The sequence below is a fragment of the Homo sapiens genome, chromosome Y (assembly GCF_000001405.40).
Source record: "Homo sapiens chromosome Y, GRCh38.p14 Primary Assembly".
Lineage (NCBI taxonomy): Eukaryota > Metazoa > Chordata > Mammalia > Primates > Hominidae > Homo > Homo sapiens.
In genome coordinates, this window is record NC_000024.10 from 9,142,239 (window position 1) to 9,163,299 (window position 21,061).

Sequence of the window (21,061 nt, forward strand, 5' to 3'; positions counted from 1 at the left end):
CAGCTTTGGTTTAGGATTAACATAGCATGTCTCCACATACAATGAAATACCTGTGTTAGATTTTGGAATGCCTCTATATATCTATTAGAGTCATCAGAGAACTCGACTAGATTTACATTTATTTTTCTAAGGCCCTGCAATGAAAAGAGAACTTGAAATCTAGTAGTACCACGTTTTTTTGGCATTTTCTACAGGGCCCACATTGAAATTGATGGTTTACAGGGTGGAACAGGGAGAGAAACTGATGACATGGGCATTAGAAAGCCTATAAAAGAGGTGCGGGTAGGGCATTTAGAAGTAGCATTTAAGGGTTTACCAAGGGTTTGTGTCTCTGACTTTGGGGCATTATCTTCTGTATGCCTGCTTTATATGACAGCCAAAGCTCAGAGACAGTTTTACAATGCTTACAAAGATCTGGGTTATCTACCAAGGCAACGGAAGATTGTACATTGGAAACACTGTACATTTCTAGGCTGCATCTCTGTTTAAAGAAGTTTTACCAATGACACCTACTAAGTTTCTCTCTCATTGTCCCCTGCAGGTGTGAAAACACTACTTGCTGTTAGGGAGATTGAGGATTGATCTTTCTAGCTACTTTTTGCTAGGAAGGGCATCTTGTAAGGAAATACAACAGCTGGAGTTCACACTGAGGTTAGGGTAAGGTTTTTCAAAACCACGGTGTTTACATAAGTGGTTTCGTTTGCAGTACAATTTGTTTGATTGCCTCTATGTGAGATGAAACAATCTCGGTTATCAAAATATAAAGTGTTAAAATGAGACGAGGTGAGGAAAAGGATAGCTTAAAAATTCTGAGGCTGCTGACATGCCCTTATAACTAATAGCTATAGATATGCTTAACAAGTTTTGGGTGCATGGGGCTTGGCTTGGCTTAGCTTCCTTGGTCTTATCCCCCAAAACACAAAACCACCTCAATTATGAGTCCACTATATACTCTCATTACCTGGCAAGATTTGTAGAGTAATTGCCCACAACAAATATATTGTTAACATATTTTTCAATATTAATCTTTTTATATTTTCAACCTAGCTGCAGCTAGAGATTTCTGGCTGGCTCACAGGAATCAACAGGGATAGCCTGAAATATAGGCAAATATTAAAGACAACTAATGAGATGAGAATATAATGGCAAACATATGATAAGATTTGAAACATGTAGGCTAGTTGAGGTAGCTCACACCTGTAATCCCAGCACTTCAAGATCAAGATCAGCCTGACCAACACGTAGAAACACCGTCTCTACTAAAAATACAAAATTATCCAGGCATGGTGTCACATGCCTGTAATCGCAGCTACTTGGGAGGCTGAGTCATGAGAATCATGTGAACTCAAGAGGCAGAGGTTGTGGTGAGCCGAGATAGTGCCATTGGCCCTCCACTCTGGTAAACAAGAGTGAAACTTCATCACAAAAAAAAAGAAAAAAGAAAAGATTTAAACATAATTTTTCTCTCTTCATTTCTTATTACTGTAAATAAACAAAGTATGTTAGGCCTGAGTTGAAAATAGTAAAATGAACTATAATTTTATATTTAACCTAAGTATTTGCATAAAGTGCAGCAAAAATAATTATTTTTAAATAGTCTCTCTAAATTGGCTTTTACGAAACTGTTCTTCAGGAGGAACCTCTGATAAGAACTCTTAAAGCCAAGAAGAACTATGGGTTTTACTTTCAAATACCTATGAGTTGGGCAAACTTTACTCTTCTTGAGGTCCAAAAACATGAAAATCCTGGGCCTGTTAGCAAGTGACATTCTTTACTCACCACAAGTCTGCAATATTTTGTGGGTTTTTAATACATATCAGGACGTAATAAATGCACACTTTATCTGTCATATAAATGAAGTTCTTCTCTCTATCTTTCCCTAGATAGCTTTTCAGATATTGAGCAGCAGGGATAGAAACTGTCTTTTGAGATTATTATTATTTTTGAGATGGAGTCATGCTCTGTCTGCCAGGCTGGAGTGCAGTGGTGCAAACTGGGCTCACTGCAACTCCTGCCTCCTGGGTTCAAGTGATTCTCCTGCCTCAGCCTCCTGAATAACTGGGACTACAGGTACATACTACCATGCCCAGCTATTTTTTTGTGTGTGTGTATTTTTAGTAGACATGGGTTTTCACCATGTTAGCCAGGATGGTCTCAATCTCCAGCCCTTGTGATCTGCCCGCCTTGGCTTCCCAAAGTGTTGGGGTTACAGGCATGAACCACTGCACCTGGCCTAAGAAGATTATTTTTAAGGCAGGTTTCAAAAGTATTAAGAATCTGTTTGACTCTTTTCAGTAGTTTTTTTTCTTGTTGTTTTATAAGTCAAAACTTGGTGGAGGACATTAAAAACATTTCACTGACTGAAGGCTCATAATGCAATTATAAATATTTAGAGTGCTGAAAAATGTATCTTTCAAAAGTGGTCCATTCTATCTTTGCATGGGAATACTGAGGCTTTATTTCTTTAATGAAGCTTTCTAAGGCAAGAGAGACTTCCAGTATATTGCAAAATTGTCTGTTTTTTTTGTTGTTGTTGTTGTTATTTGTTTGCTTGGCTCTCTGGTTTCTCAATCTATTTTTCTTGGCTGCTTTATCAGTCCCCTACTTGTGTCCTCTACAATGTAGTACTACTACTTTCCACGAAAGAAAAAGAGGAGAAAAATCTATGTATATCCTGATGATACTTAATGAGTGACTGTCAGAAAATGTATTTCTTTCCACAAAGTGGCATGGTCATAGATGATCAGAAAAGCATATTTAAAATGAGTATAAATATTATAAACATTTCTTTTTTATTTTTTGCTTCATTTGAGTGTTCTCACAAGGGCAAGTAACTCAGTGATTTGAACTCTGGTGCCTGGTAAGAGAGGCATATTCTCAGTAATATAATTCAAAGGGACTACTGCATACCCTAACTTTGGTGTTTCTTGTTTTAGGAAAGAGCTCCATTTCTACATTTACTAAGGGAGTTGCTTTGAGGTCCTCTCTGGCTGTGTAAGTTTTTACTACTCTCTGTTAACAATCATGCTGAGACCAGCTCAGTTGGTGAGACCCTAACCCAGTGGCAGTAGTGGAATTAAACACACACACAGAAATAAAGAGGTGTGAAGTGGGAAATCAGAGGCCTCACAGCCTTCAGAGCTGAGAGCCTCAAACAGATATTTACTCACATATTTATTAACAGCAAGCCAGTCATTAGCATTGTTTCTATAGATATCAAATTAACTAAAAGTATCCCTTATGGGTAATGAAAGGATGGGCCAAATTAAAGGAATAGGTTGAGCTAGTTAACTGCAGCAGGATCATGTCCTTAAGGTACAGATCATGAATGCTATTGTTTGTGTTTAAGAATGCCTTTAAGTGGTTTTCTGCACTGGGCAGGCAAGGTGTTCCTTGCCCTCATTCCCATAAACCCATAACCTTCCAGTGTTGGCTTTATGGCCATCATGCACATGTCAGTGCTGGAGAGATTTTGTTTATGGCCAGTTTTGGGTCCAGTTTATGGCCAGATTTGTGGGGGGCTTGTTCTCAACATGCTCCCTTCTTTAATTTTCAAATTGATAAAAACAAAGGCAGCTTTGTCATGGTGAGCTACTTCTTGCAGGAGTCAGGAATCCACATCTGCAGACTATACAAACAAAAACAACACAGATTAAAAGCACAACCATCACTGAAATCACAGAGCTTCCAAGTGTTTTGATCCATTTTAATGGGTTACCAGCTGCTAATCTGTCTGCAGCTCCTTTAAGCACTCCAGTTCCTGGCATTAAGGTCGGGTGTGCCTGGGATGCTTTAAATATTTGTTCTTTTAATTTTGCAATATATGCTTTTTCATTCTTTCACAGATTTTGATCTTATTAAGAGGTGTTAATGGTTTCCACAAATCCTTATGTTTAGCTCCTACAGCAGGCCATATCATTTGAGGTTGAGGTGTAACTATACCGCCACGGTTCCAGATAATAGGAACTCTTGCCATACTTCTTATCATTTCTACCATCCTAACATTTTGTTCAGAGAAGCTGAACATAATGTGGCCATGGCATGCAGACTGAGAGGTTCAATTCAAGAGAAACATCCCCTTAGGGGATCAATCAATAATGATTCCGTAGGAATCATTGTGCAGCACCTCTGCCTGTTCTGCAAAGAAATTTTCCTAAACAATTACATTCATTATTTCTGTCCAGGTTCTATTTTGTATACAAATAGGTTTTTGAGGGCAATATGCCTCAATTATAGGAGAAGATTTATTATGTAAAATACTGAGATCAGAAGGCATGTGTAACTGTGGCATAAAGTGACTATATCCAGGCATTATTACCAGACAGGATTGATAAATATGCCCAATAAGCATAATTGTTCGTGTGTCAGCCCTTGTTGAAGGAATACTCACAGCAGTGGTGATAACTGCTATGATAGCTACCATTAAATTACTCATTGTGACTGGTTGTACTGCTTTCCTCAGGTTTTCTTCTGCCACTTTTGACAGCTTCTTGATCTGTCCCCAGGTCAGTGGCTGTGTTCAATGGGTGTTGCTCATGACAGTTAGGGTGTTCCTCAGCGGCAGCCTTGATGTGGCTGCAACTGGGGGATCCTCGGGATCCTCACGGAGTCTCTTCCTTGGCATCTGGCTCAGGATAAGGTTTCAGGTGTCTTGATGGTGTCCAAATCGGTTGTTGATTTTGGCCTGGAGAAACACAAGCATAACCTCTACAGCAAGTTATTATTTTACCTATTTCCCAATTTCGTTATTGGATCTCTCCACCAAATCAGTTGTTCTGCTTCTGTCTTTGCAGGTGGTTTCTGGAGATGCTGTTCAGCTGCTGATAACATCTGGCCTTTGGACAGGCTCAAAAAAATTAAAGCTAATAATGCTAGATTCAATTGCATCTATGGGGTTCCATATTCTCCATTTCCCCCTTTCTCCTTTGCAACTGCTGTTTTAGGGAAAGATTCATTCTTTCCACTATGGCTTGTCCTTGAGAATTGTATGGGATACCAGTAATGTGTTTAATATTCCACATAGAGAAAAATGTAGCTAGAGTTTGGATAGTACAGCCTGGGGCATTATCTGTTTTAGTAGAAGCTGGAATGCCCATCACCACAAAACACTGCAAAAGGTGATGCTTAACACAGGCAGAAGGCTTTCCTGATTGGCATGTGGCCCAGACAAAGTGAGAAAAGGTGTCCACACATACATGTACATAGGCTAGTCTCCCAAATGAGGAAACAAGTGTGATATTCATTTGCCAAAGAGAGTTAGGTTCCAATCTTCGAGGATTAACTCCTCCTATAAAAGATGAGGAATGTACCATTTGGCAACTTGGGCATCACTGGATAATAGCTTAACTTATTTCCAGGTAATGCTGTATCTGCATTTGAGACAAGGCATTAACATGGGTTAAATTGTGAAAGTGGCTAGCATTAGATACTGCATTAGCAACTAGGTGATCAGCCATTTGATTCCCTTCAGTCAAAGGTCCTGTAAGAGGTGTATGAGTGTGAGTGATGTAAAAAGGGTACATGCTACTTCTAACTGCTGTTTGCAGTTGGGTAAATAAAGGCATCAGTTGTTCATCTGCATGAAATCATAACTGAGCCTTTTCAATTAACTGTGTGGAATGAAACACCTATGAAGAATCAGAAATCACATTAATAGGCATATCAGAGCAGTAAATACTTCAATTACAGCTACAAGTTCCTCTTTTTGAGCTGAAGTATAGGGCTTCTGAAAAACTTTACTTTTTGACCAAGAATAGGAAGCTTTACCATTATCAGACCCATCTATAAAACAATGAAAATGCTTAGCAGGCTGCAGATTGTTTACCGCAGGGATTGTAAATGCAAACCATTCACAGTCGTGCTCACCTAAGGGGACAGTTAATAAATAGTCTTTTAAATCTATGACTACTAAAGGCCAATTCTTTTTGGAATTATAGCAGGAGAAGGCAATCCTGGCTGTAATGCTCCCATAGGTTTTATAACTGAATTGATAGCTCTTAAGTCAGTTAACATTCTCCATTTACCTGATTTTTTTCTTAATTATGAAAACTGGAGAATTCCAAGGGGAAAATGTTGGAGCTATGTGCCCATTTTCTAATTGTTCAGTAACTAATTTCTCTAGAGCCTCCAGTTTCTCTTTACTTAGCAGCCATTGTTCTATCCAAATTGGCTTATCTCTTAACCATTTTAAAGATATAGCTTCTGGAGGCTTAACAATGGCCGCCATGAAAAACTGTTTCCTAATCTTTGGCGAGAATTTGTCTTTCCACTTGAAGATTTTGTTTCAACCCTTGCAATTTTTTTATAGTCTCATACCAGGAACATACCCCATTTCATGCACCATATGTGGACTTTGAGGGCTATATAATTGTCCTGGAATTAGAACTTGTGCTCCCCATTGTTTTAATAAATCTCCTCCCCATAAATTTATAGGTACCGAAGTTATAATTGGTGGAATAGTCCCAGGTTGTCCATCAGGCCCTTCACAAAGCAAAATAGAACTACTTTGATATACTTCAGGGGCTTTACCAACTCCAACTCTGTTAAAATGAGCGGGTTGAATTGGCCATCTGGATGGCCAGTGCTGTAGAGAAATGATTGAAATGTCTGCTACTGTATCTACCAAACCTTTAAATTTCTTTCCCTCAATAGTTATTTCACAGGTAAGATGTTTATCAGTAATTTGATTTACCCAATAAGGTGCTTTGCCTTGTTTATTTGTGCTTCCAAGTCCTCCTGTTCATTTAATTTCACATTTTCCCATTCCCATATACAGCACAATCAGGAGCTGTGCTATACACTCTCCTGGCTCTGCTTTTCAGGGAACAGAAGTAGATATAACAATTTCAATTTCCCCATTATAATCTGAATCAATGACTCCTGTATGTATTTATACCCCTTTTAAACTTAAACAAGAGCTGCCTAGAAGTAATCCTATTGTCCCTGCTGGCAAGGGTCCACAGACTCCTGTTGGGACTTTTGTGGCAGTTCCCCAGGCAGAAGCCTCACAGCTTTTGTGCAGCATAAATCTACTGGGGCACTACCAGCTGTGGCAGTGGACAGACATTGTACAGAGGTGAGGGAAGAGCCTGAGCTAGAAATGCCCCAGTTTAGAAGAGGGCCCAGGATGGGCACCCCATGGCATTTCCTGAAATTGCGTTCCCTTCTTTATCAAACTTAGAGTGACACTGATTAGTACAATGTTGTCCTTTTATACATTTTGGACATATTTCATGCTCAGCAGTTATCTTTTTTCTCCTATCTGGTGGCCTGACTCCCTGATTTTTTCTACATTCTTTTTTAGTATGACCATGCTTCCCACAGTTTAAAGAAGCTCCAGGAAATGGAGTATTTCCTTTATCCACTCTCAGTCCTGCCATTGCCTGTGCCAACAAAGTAGCTTTATGCAGATTGCTTCTGATACCATAACAGGCCTTGATATAATCAACTAAATGTGCTTTCCCTGTGATAGGTCACAGAGCAGCCTGGCAATCAGGATTAGCATTGCTGAAAGCTAATAACTGCAACACTATATGCTGAGCAGCCAAATCTGCAGTCATCTTTTTAAGAGACTCCTGTAACAGAGCTATAAAATCAGTGTATGGGTTCTTTAGGTCCCTGTTTTATAGCAGTAAAGGAAAGATATTGTTCTCCACATGAAGTGATTTTTTTCCCGAGCTCTAATGCACACTCCTCTAAGCTGTTCTATGTCATCATCCTGCATGACCAGTTGTGCATCTTAACCAGCCCAGCCGCCAACCCCCAAAGTTGGTCTGCAGTTATATTAATTTAAGGTTGGGCATGGGTATTGTGAGCAGCCTGAATGGAAGCTTCATCTGCCCACCAAGTTTTAAATTGTAGGAACTAAGCAGGAGTTAGACAAGCTCGAGTAAGAGCATCTCAGTCAGTAGGAATCATCCGACTGGAAACAGCAACATTCTTTAACAGTCCCATTACAAAAGGAGAACCTGGTCCATACTGATTTATAGCTTGTTTAAATTATTTGAGTAATTTAAAAGGAAAAGGCTCAAATGTAGCTATAATATTTCCCTGTTGACCTCGGTGGTGTATTCTAACAGGGAACTTCCAAGCCTCTAAATCACCCTCCCATCTAGTTTGTTGAATTCCTGCCTGAATAGAACTAAGAGTGGTCACTCAAGGTGCTGCTTGAACAGTCATGGGGGCAAATGCTTTTTGCCCAGTGTCCTCCAGAAAAGAAAGATATGGAGGGTCTTTTTCTTCATAATAATAATGAGGGTGTGCAGAAGTATAGGGATGAACCTCTCCTTCCTTTGCCGCTTTAGCTTTAGCTGGCAAATAAACATGCTCTGTAACCTCTTCTGTTACTTCCCTATATTCTCCTTCCTCCTCATCATCAGTACGAAAAAGTTCCAAGGTGGAACGAAACACACCTCACACTTCTCCCATTGTTACCCTGATGCTTCTGAGCTCCCCTTATTACTCACCACGGGGATTGTTTTAAGAGTACTCGGGTGTCCTCCAGCTAGTTCCACCTTCTCAAACCATCACTCTGGTGATGCTTCAACCTGGATTCAAGCCCCCATGATGGACGCCACTTGCCAAGACCAGCTCAGTCAGGGAACCCCTAACCCAGTGGTGCTAGAGGAATTAAGGACACACACACAGAAATGTAGAGGTGTGAATTGGGAAATTGGGGTCTCACAGCCTTCAGAGCTGAGAGCCACAAACAAAGATTTACCCACATATTTATTAACAGCAAGCCAGTCATTAGCATTGTTTCTATGGATATTAAATTAACTAAAAGTCTCCCTTATGGGAAACATAGGGATGGGCAGAATTAAAGGAATAGGTTGGGCTACATAAATGCAGCAGTCGCATGTCCTTAATGCACAGATCATGCATGCTATTGTTTGTGACTTAAGAATGCCTTTAAGTGGATTTCCATACTGGGCAGGTGAGGTATTCCTTGCCCTCATTCCTGTAAACCCACAAACTTCCAGAGTTGGCTTTATGGCCATCATGAACATGTCACAATGCTGCAGAGATTTTGTTTGTGGCCAGTTTTGGGGCCAGTTTTTGGCCAGATTTTGGGGGGCTTGTTCCCAACACAATCATATACAGGTTCTTCAGTTATTTCTGGGAAAAAATTTCCTGGGTTCAAGCAAAGTCAGGTTGTTAACCAAACTACAAACTTTTCAGCAGCAAAGCTTGATATTTTAGGAAAAGATTGTCTATTATCCAAAAACATTCTTTAGAGGATAGCAGTTCTCCTAAATTATGTGGGTGTAAACAGTAAAATTATTCCCCATCGTTAACTTTGTGGCTTCCCACAGCAGCATGTCCAACACTGCTACTCAACTGCTTGGAGGCAGTCTGTTTATTCTTCAGGCAGCAAGTTGAGATCTTGGCTTAGGTAACTTACCAACTGCTTGTCTCGACCATGGGCCTGAGTTGAAACTCTCAAGGCCATCCATTTCTTTTCTGAAGCATAAAATTTAAATGTCAACTTTATAGGAAAACTGAAGGTACGTGCTTTCAGTAAGGCTTGTTTTAGCTGCTTAAAGGTATTTTGAGCTTCAAGTGCCCAGATTAGAAAGTTAGCCATAGCTTCTTGAGTTTATTTTATAACGTGATATAAAGGGTTACCTAGTTTACCATAGGTCGGTATCCACAATCTGCAAAAATTGATAATGCCCCCAAATCCTCTTAATTTTAGAGATGGGGGAAAAGAAAAAGAGGAAATGGGATAAATCCTCACCTTGACTAATGCTCTAGTTTCTTCTGATAGGACCAGGCCTAAGTATTTCACTGAGGTATGACAAAGCTGAGCCTTACATTGTGATTCTTCATAACCTCTGCTTGCTAGATAATTGAGAAGCCTTCTCAGTTGGGGCACAGAGGAGAATGTCATATTGTAAAACTTTAACCTGAGGATGAGATAACTCAGAGAGGTCTCTTGATAATGTCTACTAAAACAGATGGAGGCTTTCTTAAACCCCTGTGGCAATACTTTCCGTGTTAACTGTGTATCCTGTTTGGACAGATTCTCAAAGGAAAAGAGGTATTGGAAACCAGGGTGCAATCATAAAAATAAAAAAGGCATCCTTCAGGTCTAAAACTTTAAATCATTCAGTTCTCTTGGGAATTTGAGTTAGCAAAGTACAAGAATTAAGAACAACCACATAGAGTGGAAAAACTGCCTCAATAGTGAGACAAGTGTTCTTAACTAGCCTCCAATCCTAATTGAGTTTCTCTACTCCTAATATTTGCAGTTTTTTAAAGACTGATGTGGGGTCTAAGGAGGCCTTTCTCCTATAGCTTATTTATAATGTCTTCTAGCATTTTTCTACTTTATGGCTTTGGGAAATAATGCATCTGGCTAGAAAGAATAGTGGGATCCTTAAGGTAAATATTGATGCATGTAGTGGCTGTAGTTCAGTAAGTTTTTTCTTGATATCCCACACCTTTTCATTAATACTGATTTCCGCTAAGGGGAGAAAAAGATTTTGTCCAGAGCCATTAAGATGGTGGCTTCTATATGGGCCAAAATATCTCTACCTAGTTAATATTGATTTCCACTAAGGGGAGACAAAGCATTTGTCCTGGAGCCATTAAGATGATGCCTCCTGTATAGGCCAGAATATCTCTACCTAGTAATAAAGTGAAACTTTCAGAAATGACTAAATTGGCATGAGTAAATAGAAGGTCGTTCCAACTATAACTGTGAGCTGAGAAAATATTGGGTAAAGTTCTTTGCTGACACATCAATCATTTGTCACATAATGGAAGGATAGAAGACCTACATTGGAGAGGAGAACAAAAAGACCTGCTCCAGCTTCCAGAAGGAATTCTACCTTCCTCCCTCCCACCTCAAGAATCACTCAAGGCTCCTAAGGAGTATGGCCCTTGAGGAGTATGGCAGCTCTTAGAGCTGAGGAATTGATATCTAGGAATTATTAATCCTGCTAGAGCATTTGTGAGACTGATCCTGGGCCTAGTGATGTATGCCTCTGGAAACAGCACTCCTTTCAGTGGTTACCACAACAAGTTGGACAGTGTTAAGTTGGTTTCCTTTGTTGTCTCAGCATTTCTTGTTAAGTGTCCTGTCTTGCCAAACTGATAACAGTTATCAGGTGCCCTCAGGGACCCACATTTTATAGACCTGTATTGTGGTCTTTAGAGTCTCTGTTCTTTTCTTTTCTTTTCTCTTATTCTGCTATGCTTGTTTTTGTTCCCTATTGTAAGTCTGAAGTAGCCACATTCAGGGGTTCTCTAGAATGTTTCTGAGAGGAGAAAGCTAGCTTGACTTAGGGGGACAGCAAGGAATTGTTCCTGGGAAACCCCCAGCCTAGAGGTCACTGCATCATTTATACATACTACACTAAGCAGCCTGAAAAATAAATCAGATTGCAGACTTCAATAAGATAACTAACACATGGGTGTTGTACCTAGAGAGGCACCTGTGTGTTTACAGGCAGAAGAACCTTCAATCCATTCAGATAAAAATCTTTCACAAATTCTGATTCACTCAAATAACAAAACTAGGCCTGGCATAAAAATATCCTTGTCCTTTTTATAATCAGTGGGCTCTCAGGAAGCAGTTTCTTCTTCATTTGGAAACATAAACAGAGTGGGTTCTGGTTGGCACTGATTTTTTCTTTTTGGACTGTGAGCTGGGCCTCTATGAATCATTATTTTAGTTATTAATTAGGCCTGGGCCAAATTCTTGGGCCAAGCTTTAACATCAGCTCCTGATAGGTCATGGGATAAGCTGAACATCCACTATAAATTATGACTTCAGTCCCTGATTATTTCTGTGCAAGCCTCCTGGGCTAAGCTTTTTAATTAATCTCAGGCAAAGACCCTGGGCCAAGCTGAATCACATGTTCTTCCAAACAGCCCACTGACTAAGCACATTTCTTTGTCTTCCCACTTTATTATAACCCTGAAACCCAGCCTCATAGTAGAAAACACAGTTGGGCCTCTCTTTTTACTAGAAGAGAGCTTTTTCTTTTACTCATCTCTTTTGTTTTAATCTCATCGTTGGTGCCATAGCTTCTTAATTTTTTTTTGGATGTAATACAAAAGTCTTTGGGTATAATATCATATGAAGGGATACTACTATATCTTGGTGCATTGGTGGGACTACAACATATATTGATGCATGGGCTGAGAAACAAATAATTCATAAGAGGGTAAGAATGGATCTTTAATCTTTTACATTCATTTCAAAAACGTGTTTGTTTTTTTCAATCTAGTTTTCTTTCATGAAGAGCCTGGCTACCACATGGGATGTAAAGGAGATCCTAGGGAAACTGCAAGTTTCTCACTGAGGTTACAACTCTGTAATCTGATTGCCCTTAGACTAGTTCCAGTCCCTAACAGCTCATCAGGCTGTTAGCACAAGGACTTCCAGTTTTTGTCTATTAAATTTACCATTTTTCTTCTCACAGCTATTATGTCTTTTATCCATTTTTTTGGTATGGAATGCTCTAGGCATTTTTACAGCCTAGGTATAAAATTTTGCTGAGTAGAGTCACTCAATGACTAAGCAGGAATGTAATTCAGAAAGGTTTGTTTTTGTGATTTCCCTGAAACAAGGGGAATTCAAGAATTCAGTATAAACATTTACCTATTAAGGGCCTTTCTGTCCAACAATGATAGAGTTTTATGGCACTGTATGGGAGGATATTTTACCCAAAGTGAATACTCTTTTTTTAATTTAGATTTTTAAGAGATATTATTGTTTTCCATAGAACAGTTATATCATGAGACAAGTTAAATTTTGCCTGATTGGGGGTATACACTGGAGACAACTGATCAAACCCTGAACTGTCTTTCTAACTTTTGGCTGAAGTGAGTTTGGAGTCAGAATTATTGTTCTTTCTTTTTTCTTTTTTTTTTTTTTGGATGGAGTTTTTGCTCTTGGCATCCAGGATGCAGTGCAATGGTGGGATCTTGGCCTACTACTACAACCTCCACCTCCCAGGTACAAGTGGTTCTCCTGCCTCAGCCTTCTGAGTAGCTGTGATTAAAGGTGCCCACCACCATGCCTGGATTTTTTTGTATTTTTAGTACAGATGGGTTTTTACCATGTTGGTCAGGCTGGTCTTAAACTTTTGTCCTCAGGTGATTCACCTGCCTTGACCTCCCAAAGTGCTGGGATTACAGTTGTGAGCCACCATGTCTGGCCAGGAGTCAGGATTTTTAACCTAGCATTTCTAGCCTTACAATACCTCCTAGTGAAGTGAGATTTCTTTTCTATTGAAAGCTTTGGCAAGTCATTGTCCAAAACTTATGGTTTCCTAATTATTTTCCCAATGATATTCCTCTAGCAGTGATTAGGCCCCATGTTCTATCTGTAAGCAGGCAGCCTCCACTTTAACTGTTGGGAGGAAGACACTGTTGAAGGGCAGATTTTAACCTCTTTGCTGTCCCCGTCTAATGAAGGACCAGCCATTCAGCTTTTGCACTCTTTTGAGGCACCTATTCTCCATTTTCTTAATTTGGGATTTAAAATGTTTGAAAGTCAATCTCTCTCATTCTCTGAGATTCTGATGTTTCTCTGGGAACATAGTTAGGAAAAGCAAGTTAGTATGAGGACATTTTCTCCATTAAAAAGTCTTGCACAAATTCTCCTACTAAATAACGTCTCCCTAAAAACGGAGTAGATGCTTCATGCAGGTAAGCACGGCTAGTAAGCTGACTAGCTCTCCCCAAATCCTTGAGTAAAGGTTGTTGTTTCATTTATGGGAAGCATGTATGGTAGATTTTCAGACCCAGATGAGACAGGGGAAGTAGAAGAAGGGTACCGTAACATTTTCTATTTACCCTGCATCACAACAAAAGCAGGAACAGGTCTCAAGGACACCTTGTCTCCCCTCTGTTTCTAGATGGCAACGATGCATCTGCAGAGTGCATTCCAATGATATGCATTTGGAAACACTGGAATTCCATCAACCCTGAGACTCTGAATTAAAAAAAAAGAAGCTTAAGCCAGGTGTTGTGGCTCACACCTGTAGTCCCAACATTCTGGGAGGGCAAGGTGGGCAGATTGACTGGTCAGCATGGTAAAATCCCATCTCTGCTACAAATACAAAAATTAGATGGATGTGGTGGCAGGTGTCTTTACTCCAAGATACTCAGGAAGCTGAGCCAGGAGAATCCCTTGAACCCCAGAGGCAGATGTTGCACTGAGACAAGATTGTGCCATTGCACTAAAGCTTGGTCAACAGAATGAGACTCTATTTCAAAATACAAATAAATGTAAATATACATATACATATACATTTAAAAAACAGCTTATATTCTGCTGACAACAAAGTGGCCATTTTACAAAGAGAAGGCCTGGCCTTCTCAAAGAAGAATAGTTTCAATACTATCTGGCAACTAAGGCTCTTTTGCCCTTCAAGAAAATTTGAATTTTGTAAGCATTGTGGAATTTACTTTGCCTTTTTATTAGCCATACAAAGCAAATGTACAATACATAATTTTCAAAAGTCAGAGAGAGAAATCTCTGGAGAACCCTCAGATGCTATTTCTAGTGCCCTATCTGCCTTCTTTATCTGGGGCTGCCAATAGCCATATAGAAACTCCTCTGATTGTGCTACCTTAAGAAACCTCCAACTTTGCTGTTGCCTGTATAGCAAATGCCCAATGAACATGGTGGAACTAATTTAAATTTCCTTATCATTGCAGTAACATTAAACCAATAAAGCAGGACTCAGGCAAGTTCTCTGATGACCCTGATAGACATACACAGGCTTTTCAAAATTTAAACCAAGTGTTTAATCTAATGTGCAGAAATGTTGTGAGACTTTTAGGCCAAATTTTAACTGCTGCTGCTGCTGCTGCTGAAAAACAGGCAGCATTGCAGGGAGCAAAGAATTTTGAAGATGAACAACTAGTACCCTATAGTCAGGAAAGAAACACAGTTGAAGGAAAAAAATTAGTAAAAAAGAGATGAATTACTATTTCCAATACATACAAAAACAGTGCTTTTTGAAAACCCTAATTGATGTCTGAGTGATCCCATGGATAAGTGGATAAGAAAACACTTTCTTACGTGCATATTAGCAGGCTTCCAAAGAACTAGAACAAAACCTCTTAAATAATCTAAACTACCATTGTTGAATCACAAGCCAGATAAAAATCTCTTAGGCTCTTTGGAAAGTCTGAGAGAAGCTTTAGTGAAACATACCTCTCTACCTCCTAAATCCATCAACAGACAGATTATGTTAAAATACATGTTTATTTCTCAGACAGCCCCTAATATCAGAAGAAAACTACAAAAGCAGGCCATGGGATGACTCAGCACTGTGGACAGCCTCCTGGGGTGGATTTTTCAGTCTTTTACAAGAAGACCTGGAACAAGGAGTCCCAGAAAATCCAGGGGGGTCATAAGAGAATGAAAGAGGTACTACGGCTACATTACAGGCCTACAAGTTGCAGAATTACCAAGGTGCACCTGCTAATTTCTACTGGTGTGACAAGCCAGGACACTTTCAAAGGGATTGCACAGGCAGCAAGAAGAATATACTTAACTTTGTCCAGCCTGTGGTGGAGACCAGTGAAAGTAAAAATGACCCCAGTGACATTTGTCACCAATCAAATGTGTTTTCCCCTGATTGTTCAGCAGGAATAATGGGTCCCAGGCTCTACAGCCATTGTGATACAGAGGATCCAAGTAATTCTGGAGGTAAAGGCTAAATAATTTTCATCTAGTTTTAATCTGTTATCAGTACCTTAGAGTAATTAAGAAGTATGGCCCTGTTCTCTCATCAACCTTCCAGTATGCTAATTAGATTTTTTTTTTCACTCATCTACAAGATCACCAAGATGTCAATTGGGTTTTCAAGAAACGCTGTTTCCTTTCTTATTAGAAATAAACATTTTGCTATTTGTTTAACTTTTTTTTCCCCTTTCACCCTCCCTTCTTCTTGAATTTTGGCTGGCTGTAAGAAACACACATTTCCTCTATAAAAAATTCTGCTATCTATAAAGCTGCCTGCTTTACTGTAACATTTAGGGATTGCTTTAGGAGTAATGTAGTATTTTACAAGTAAGATTGAACACTTGGGTTATGCTTTGAAATGCCTCTGTATATGAATCAGGGTCATCAGAGGACTTGCTTGTTTCCTGCTATTTGTGTAAGGCCCTGAAATGAGAAGAAAACTTGAACTCTAGTAGCACCACATCTATCGATTATTTCCTGCAGGGGCAGCAGTGAAGTTGGAAGTTTCCTTGGTGGCACAAGAAGAAAAGCTGATGAAATGGCTGTTGGAGGGCCTGCATAAGGGTGGCAGGTAGGGCATTTAGAAGTCACATTTGAGGGTTCCTGAGGGGTTTGTCTCTGACTTTAATAAATTATTGTTTTAAACTTGCCTGATGTGACTGCCAAGAGGGCAGTCAATTTTACAATGTTTATGACGATCTGGGTTGTCTCCAAAATCAAAGTAAGCTTATACATAGAAAATTTCAAAGTGTTTTTTTTCCCATCTCAAGAAAAGATCTAGTTGTTGAACAGTATTAAAATGAACACTTCCCTCAGGAAGCCAGGCCTGCCTGTCTGGAGCTGGTAAGATAGCCATGCCCTTTTGCCAAAACAAACAAACAAAACCACTTTTTTTCAGAGTCACATGGTCAAATAAATTCCAGTGTTTCTGAATGCAACCTAGAGAAGTCCAGAATGCAGAAGGTTTGTGACCTTTCAAAATATATAGAAAGAGAAAGAATCCCACAGTCTCCTTCCTCTTTTTGAAAAACCCTGAGTGAAAAGGAAGATCTAAAGTGTGTTCATTGTTTTTTCATTTTTCTTGTCTTTTATGGATCTGGCAACTATCATAGGTGTCCTCCATGGATACAATCATAATCTTCACCCATGGTTCCAGAGGAGCTAGTAAGAAGGAGAAGTAATGTTCACCTGCACAAGGCGTTAGCTCTCCACTAGTGATCCTTTGTTGGTCTCCTAAGCATACTCAACCCAGAAGATTCCAAAGGTAACTTGGCAACCTAAGAAAGATTATGGGTAGTTTGATTTGAGCAAGGACCTTTTGCACAGGGAGATGTTCAATACTATTTCTGTCTTTCTTTGCTGTTGCCCTAGTAAAATCTTGAAATTCTAGAAAATGAGATCGATTGACTTTGAAACATAAAATTCTCTTTTAGTTTAAATGCCACTTGCTGCTGGAAGCAGAATACATACCTCCAAAAATGTAGGGCTTGAATGGCTGGTCTTCTTAAAATAGCCCTAAGTGGCCAAGTGCGGTGGCTCATGCCTGTAATCCCAGCACTTTGGGAGGCAGAGGTGGGCAGGTCATGAGGTCAGAAGTTCGAGATCAGCCTGACCAATATGGTGAAACCTCATCTATACAAAAATTACAAAAATTAGCTGGGCATGGTCGTGTGCACCTGTAATCACTGCTACTCAGGAGGCTGAGGCAGGAGAATCACTTGAACTCAGAAGGTGGAGATTACAATAGCCGAGATTGCATGACTGTGCTATAGCCTAGGCAACAGAATGAGACTCCATCTCAAAACAGAGAGAGAGAGAAAAGCCCGGAGCTAGAATATGTCTCTCAAAGGCAACTTTCTGCCAACTATTGAAAGTAGAGATTTTCTGTTTACAGATAGGGCATGGAGTCTTATTACTGTTAGAGAGACACAGGAGAGAGAGGAGTTGAAAACCTCAGGGTTTTGGGCAAAGTACTGACAAGTCTTCCTACAGAGAAAAATTTCATCACACTAGGTGACATGGTAAGATCTAAAATGTTAGATGAAAACTCTGACTCCAAGATTTTTGTAGCCAAAAGTTAGAAAAAGAAGGGGAAAACTCTATAGGTTGTCCCCACAGTTCGTGTCTCTGGAGAAAAAAAGATTAATGTGTCTCATAAAGAAACTGTTTAGATTTATATGGCAATGCTGAGCTTTTTACAGAGAAATAACCAACAAAAACAAAAACTTTCTTCTGAATGTATATCTTTCCATACAGTGCCATGAATATCTGTCACTGGGGGACAAAAAAACACTCACCAAATAAAAATTTTTAGAGTACAATTTGAGTTCTTTCTGGTTCCAAAAAAATCACAAAATAGCATCTCTTTTCATTACATTTTTAATTACTAACACACCAGCTGACATTACCCCATAAGATTATATCTCCAGGTTTCAACATTCATACAAACAGGAAATAGAATATATAATAGTCACAAAAAGAAAAAAAATGCAACAGAAATTTCTGGAATTTTTGGTGGCAACATAATTATGGGCTGTCAGAAACTGTAGTTAGTCCCGAGGCTTTCGGGTAACACCGTGGTGTAGTCTTAACCAGAAACCTTCAGTTTTTCAAGATTTTCTTTCAGCCCCACATGATGACTAGGTCCTCCATGAAAGAAAACTGAATTGGAACAGAGGCAACATTTTTGACACCTAAGGGTAAAGGGGGATTGCCAGAGTGTTTCCCAGCAGGCCTATCTCCTGAGCCTTGTAAGGATGGTAGCCATTTTACTGGATTTTAACTGACACTGGCCCAGTGTTTTGTGTGCTCTTGAGAAATTAAAAAAGAAAACCCTGAGGACAACAAGCCTCAGAAATGAATGTAAATAGTTTGGAGGTGCACTCCTAGTCACTTTTTAATTAATCTTTTTCCAGTTCATGCACCAAAAACGTAGTTGCTGTCCCCCAACACACCACAGCGTATCAGTTTCTCATTCTGAGGTGTCACATATATTTTTTTTAATCTAAAGGCCAAGAAATTAAAAGCCATGAATGAAAATGATGAGATTGTAGCAAATGTTTAATAAGTTAACTTCTTGTGGAGGAAAGTGAGTTGCCCACGATAAGGAAGTGTCTGATGTTTTTTATGGAATGGGAAGAAACAGAATGTCCTAACTATTCTTGAAGAAAGCACTGCTGAACTTTTCCAGGGACTTTGACGTGGGACAAATTAGGAGCTAAAGTAGTGACTCAGAAGTGATTCAGCTTGGCTCAGGAACTTGGCCCTGGACCATTCAAGAGCTAAAATAATAGCATGGCCTAGGACCAGCCAAACTCAAACTGCTTCTGAGAAACAGACAGCCCTACATGCAACAAGAGAGATTCAGGGACAACTGCATGTCTTCTACAGCCAGCGTAAAATACAAAAGGTACTCAAAGGGACCATATTGAATCAGAAACCAGATAAAAATTTTTCAGCCTTTATGAAAAGGCAGAGGGACGTTCATGAAACACACTTTTGTAGCTCCTGAATCAATTAATACATGGATAATCTTAAAAGGCAAGTTTATTACTCAGGCACCTACTAATATCAGAAGAAAACTTCAGAGGAAGGCTCTGGAATTGTACACTACCTTGGGAAACTTCGTGGGCATAACCTTCTCTATCTTTTATGACAGGACTCAGGAACAGCCACAGCAAAAAGAGATGATGCAAAATAAAGACAAAGACCAGTGACCCAATTACAGGCCCATAAAATCCAAGATACTTGACATTCACCTGTAAACTCCTCTCAGTGAGGTAAGCCAGGGTACCTTAGGAAGAATGGCTAAGGCATCAAAATGTAGCTACCTTGACCCTTTCCATCCTGTGTTGGTGACTACTACATGTTGGACTGCCTCCAAGAGTGTTCATCACAGTGTGGGGCCAGTTTCCCAGATGGTCCAGTAGACTAATGCATCCCAGATCTCAATTCCCACACTTCATTTATTGCCATCTCATTAATGCACCACAATGTAGCAATCTCTCATTGTGAGGTGTCAAGCAGAGCTCTTTGTCTCATGGCCAAGAAAATTAAGGAGCATGGATGCAAACAGGTTGAAGCAAAAGTTTTATAAGTGAAAGTAAAAAGCTCTTTACAGTGGAGGTGGGGTGTAAGTTGTTTGCCTACTATAAGGCTGGGCTTCAGGGTTGATAAAGACAGAAAATGAAAGAAATGTGCTTAGTGGTCTTGGAGAAACATTACTCAGCTTGGCCCTGCACTTTGGCTGGGGATTCATCAGGAGGTTAAGTAATGATTTATAGATACAACTTAGCTTGGCCTTCATCCTTTGCCCTGGACCAAGCAGCAGCTAAAGTGAAAGCTTGGTCTGATACCTTGGCCTGGGACCAATAACATGCTGAAGTGTTGTTTCATGACCAAGATAATTAATGAAACTACACATAAAGTTCAGATAAGACAGAAGTTTAATAATCAAAAGAAGAAAGCTGTTCACATTAAAGAAGGGACCCATGAGACTTTCCAACTATAATGCTGGGTCTGAGGTTTTTGTGAACTGGAAAGAAAGAAATATTCTGAGTTGCATGTGGGCTATCTTGAAGAAAGCAGTAATCAGCTTGGTTCAGGACCTGACCTGGGACAAATCAGAGGATGAAATAAAAGCTTTGTTTGGGGCATTGCATCAGGAAAACACAGAAGCTGAAGGGATGATTCAGAAACACTTGGCTCACAGGTCAAAACATATTCAAAGTAGAAAAGTGTCCCAGCAGAGCCCACTAGAGCCTACTAGGTATCATGCCCACAAAGACAGAATTGTCTATTTTTTTGAAGCCTGCTGATTATATGAATGACAAAGGTATCTCTACATGTGGCCTTCCTCCCCTATCTGTGCAGCTGTGCATATGTTTTAGGCAAAAACGCAAAGGCATTTTCATGTTCTTTCCTGTTTTCTGATTATTGCAGCTGTGAACATGTCTTTTGCTACTCTCCTCTTCTAGTTCTCTTACAGTTGCCTGCAACTTAACTTTTCAGTCTGTTTCTGTGCTTAAAAGAGTTTTACCAAGAACCCTTCCTAGTTTCCTGTTTTTTCTCTCCCACATCATGAAGGTAAATTTAATGTGTTTTGTGCATAAAACAAAGCTGTGTGAAGAAATATTCTGTGGAGCTTTCCGCTTGTGTCATGTCATCACTCAAGTTTCACATTGGAGTACATTTAATGTTTTTATGTTAGCAATGTTCAACCTGCACTTTCTTCTTTTAAAATAAACGACTTTGAAAAAGAGAATAAATTGTTTTAATTCTTAGATCATTTGGTAGAATTTGACAGTGGAATTCTACCCAGGACTCTAGTCCTAGGGTTTCTTTTAA

General features: G+C 39.6%; 2 annotated features.

The window, feature by feature from the left end:
• Nucleotides 1,306-2,900: a meiotic recombination region, noted in NCBI's record as "meiotic double-strand break mapped by DNA meiotic recombinase 1 chromatin immunoprecipitation followed by single-stranded DNA enrichment and sequencing in the germ cells of some male individuals with PRDM9 AA and PRDM9 AB genotypes". NCBI's record gives the evidence for it as "EXISTENCE:chromatin immunoprecipitation-seq evidence [ECO:0000229][PMID:25395542]".
• Nucleotides 1,670-1,822: a non allelic homologous recombination region, noted in NCBI's record as "sub-region WHT5557, recombines with sub-region WHT5557' within the IR4 Yq recombination region". NCBI's record gives the evidence for it as "EXISTENCE:fluorescence in situ hybridization evidence [ECO:0001047][PMID:23643616]" and "EXISTENCE:nucleotide sequencing assay evidence [ECO:0000219][PMID:23643616]".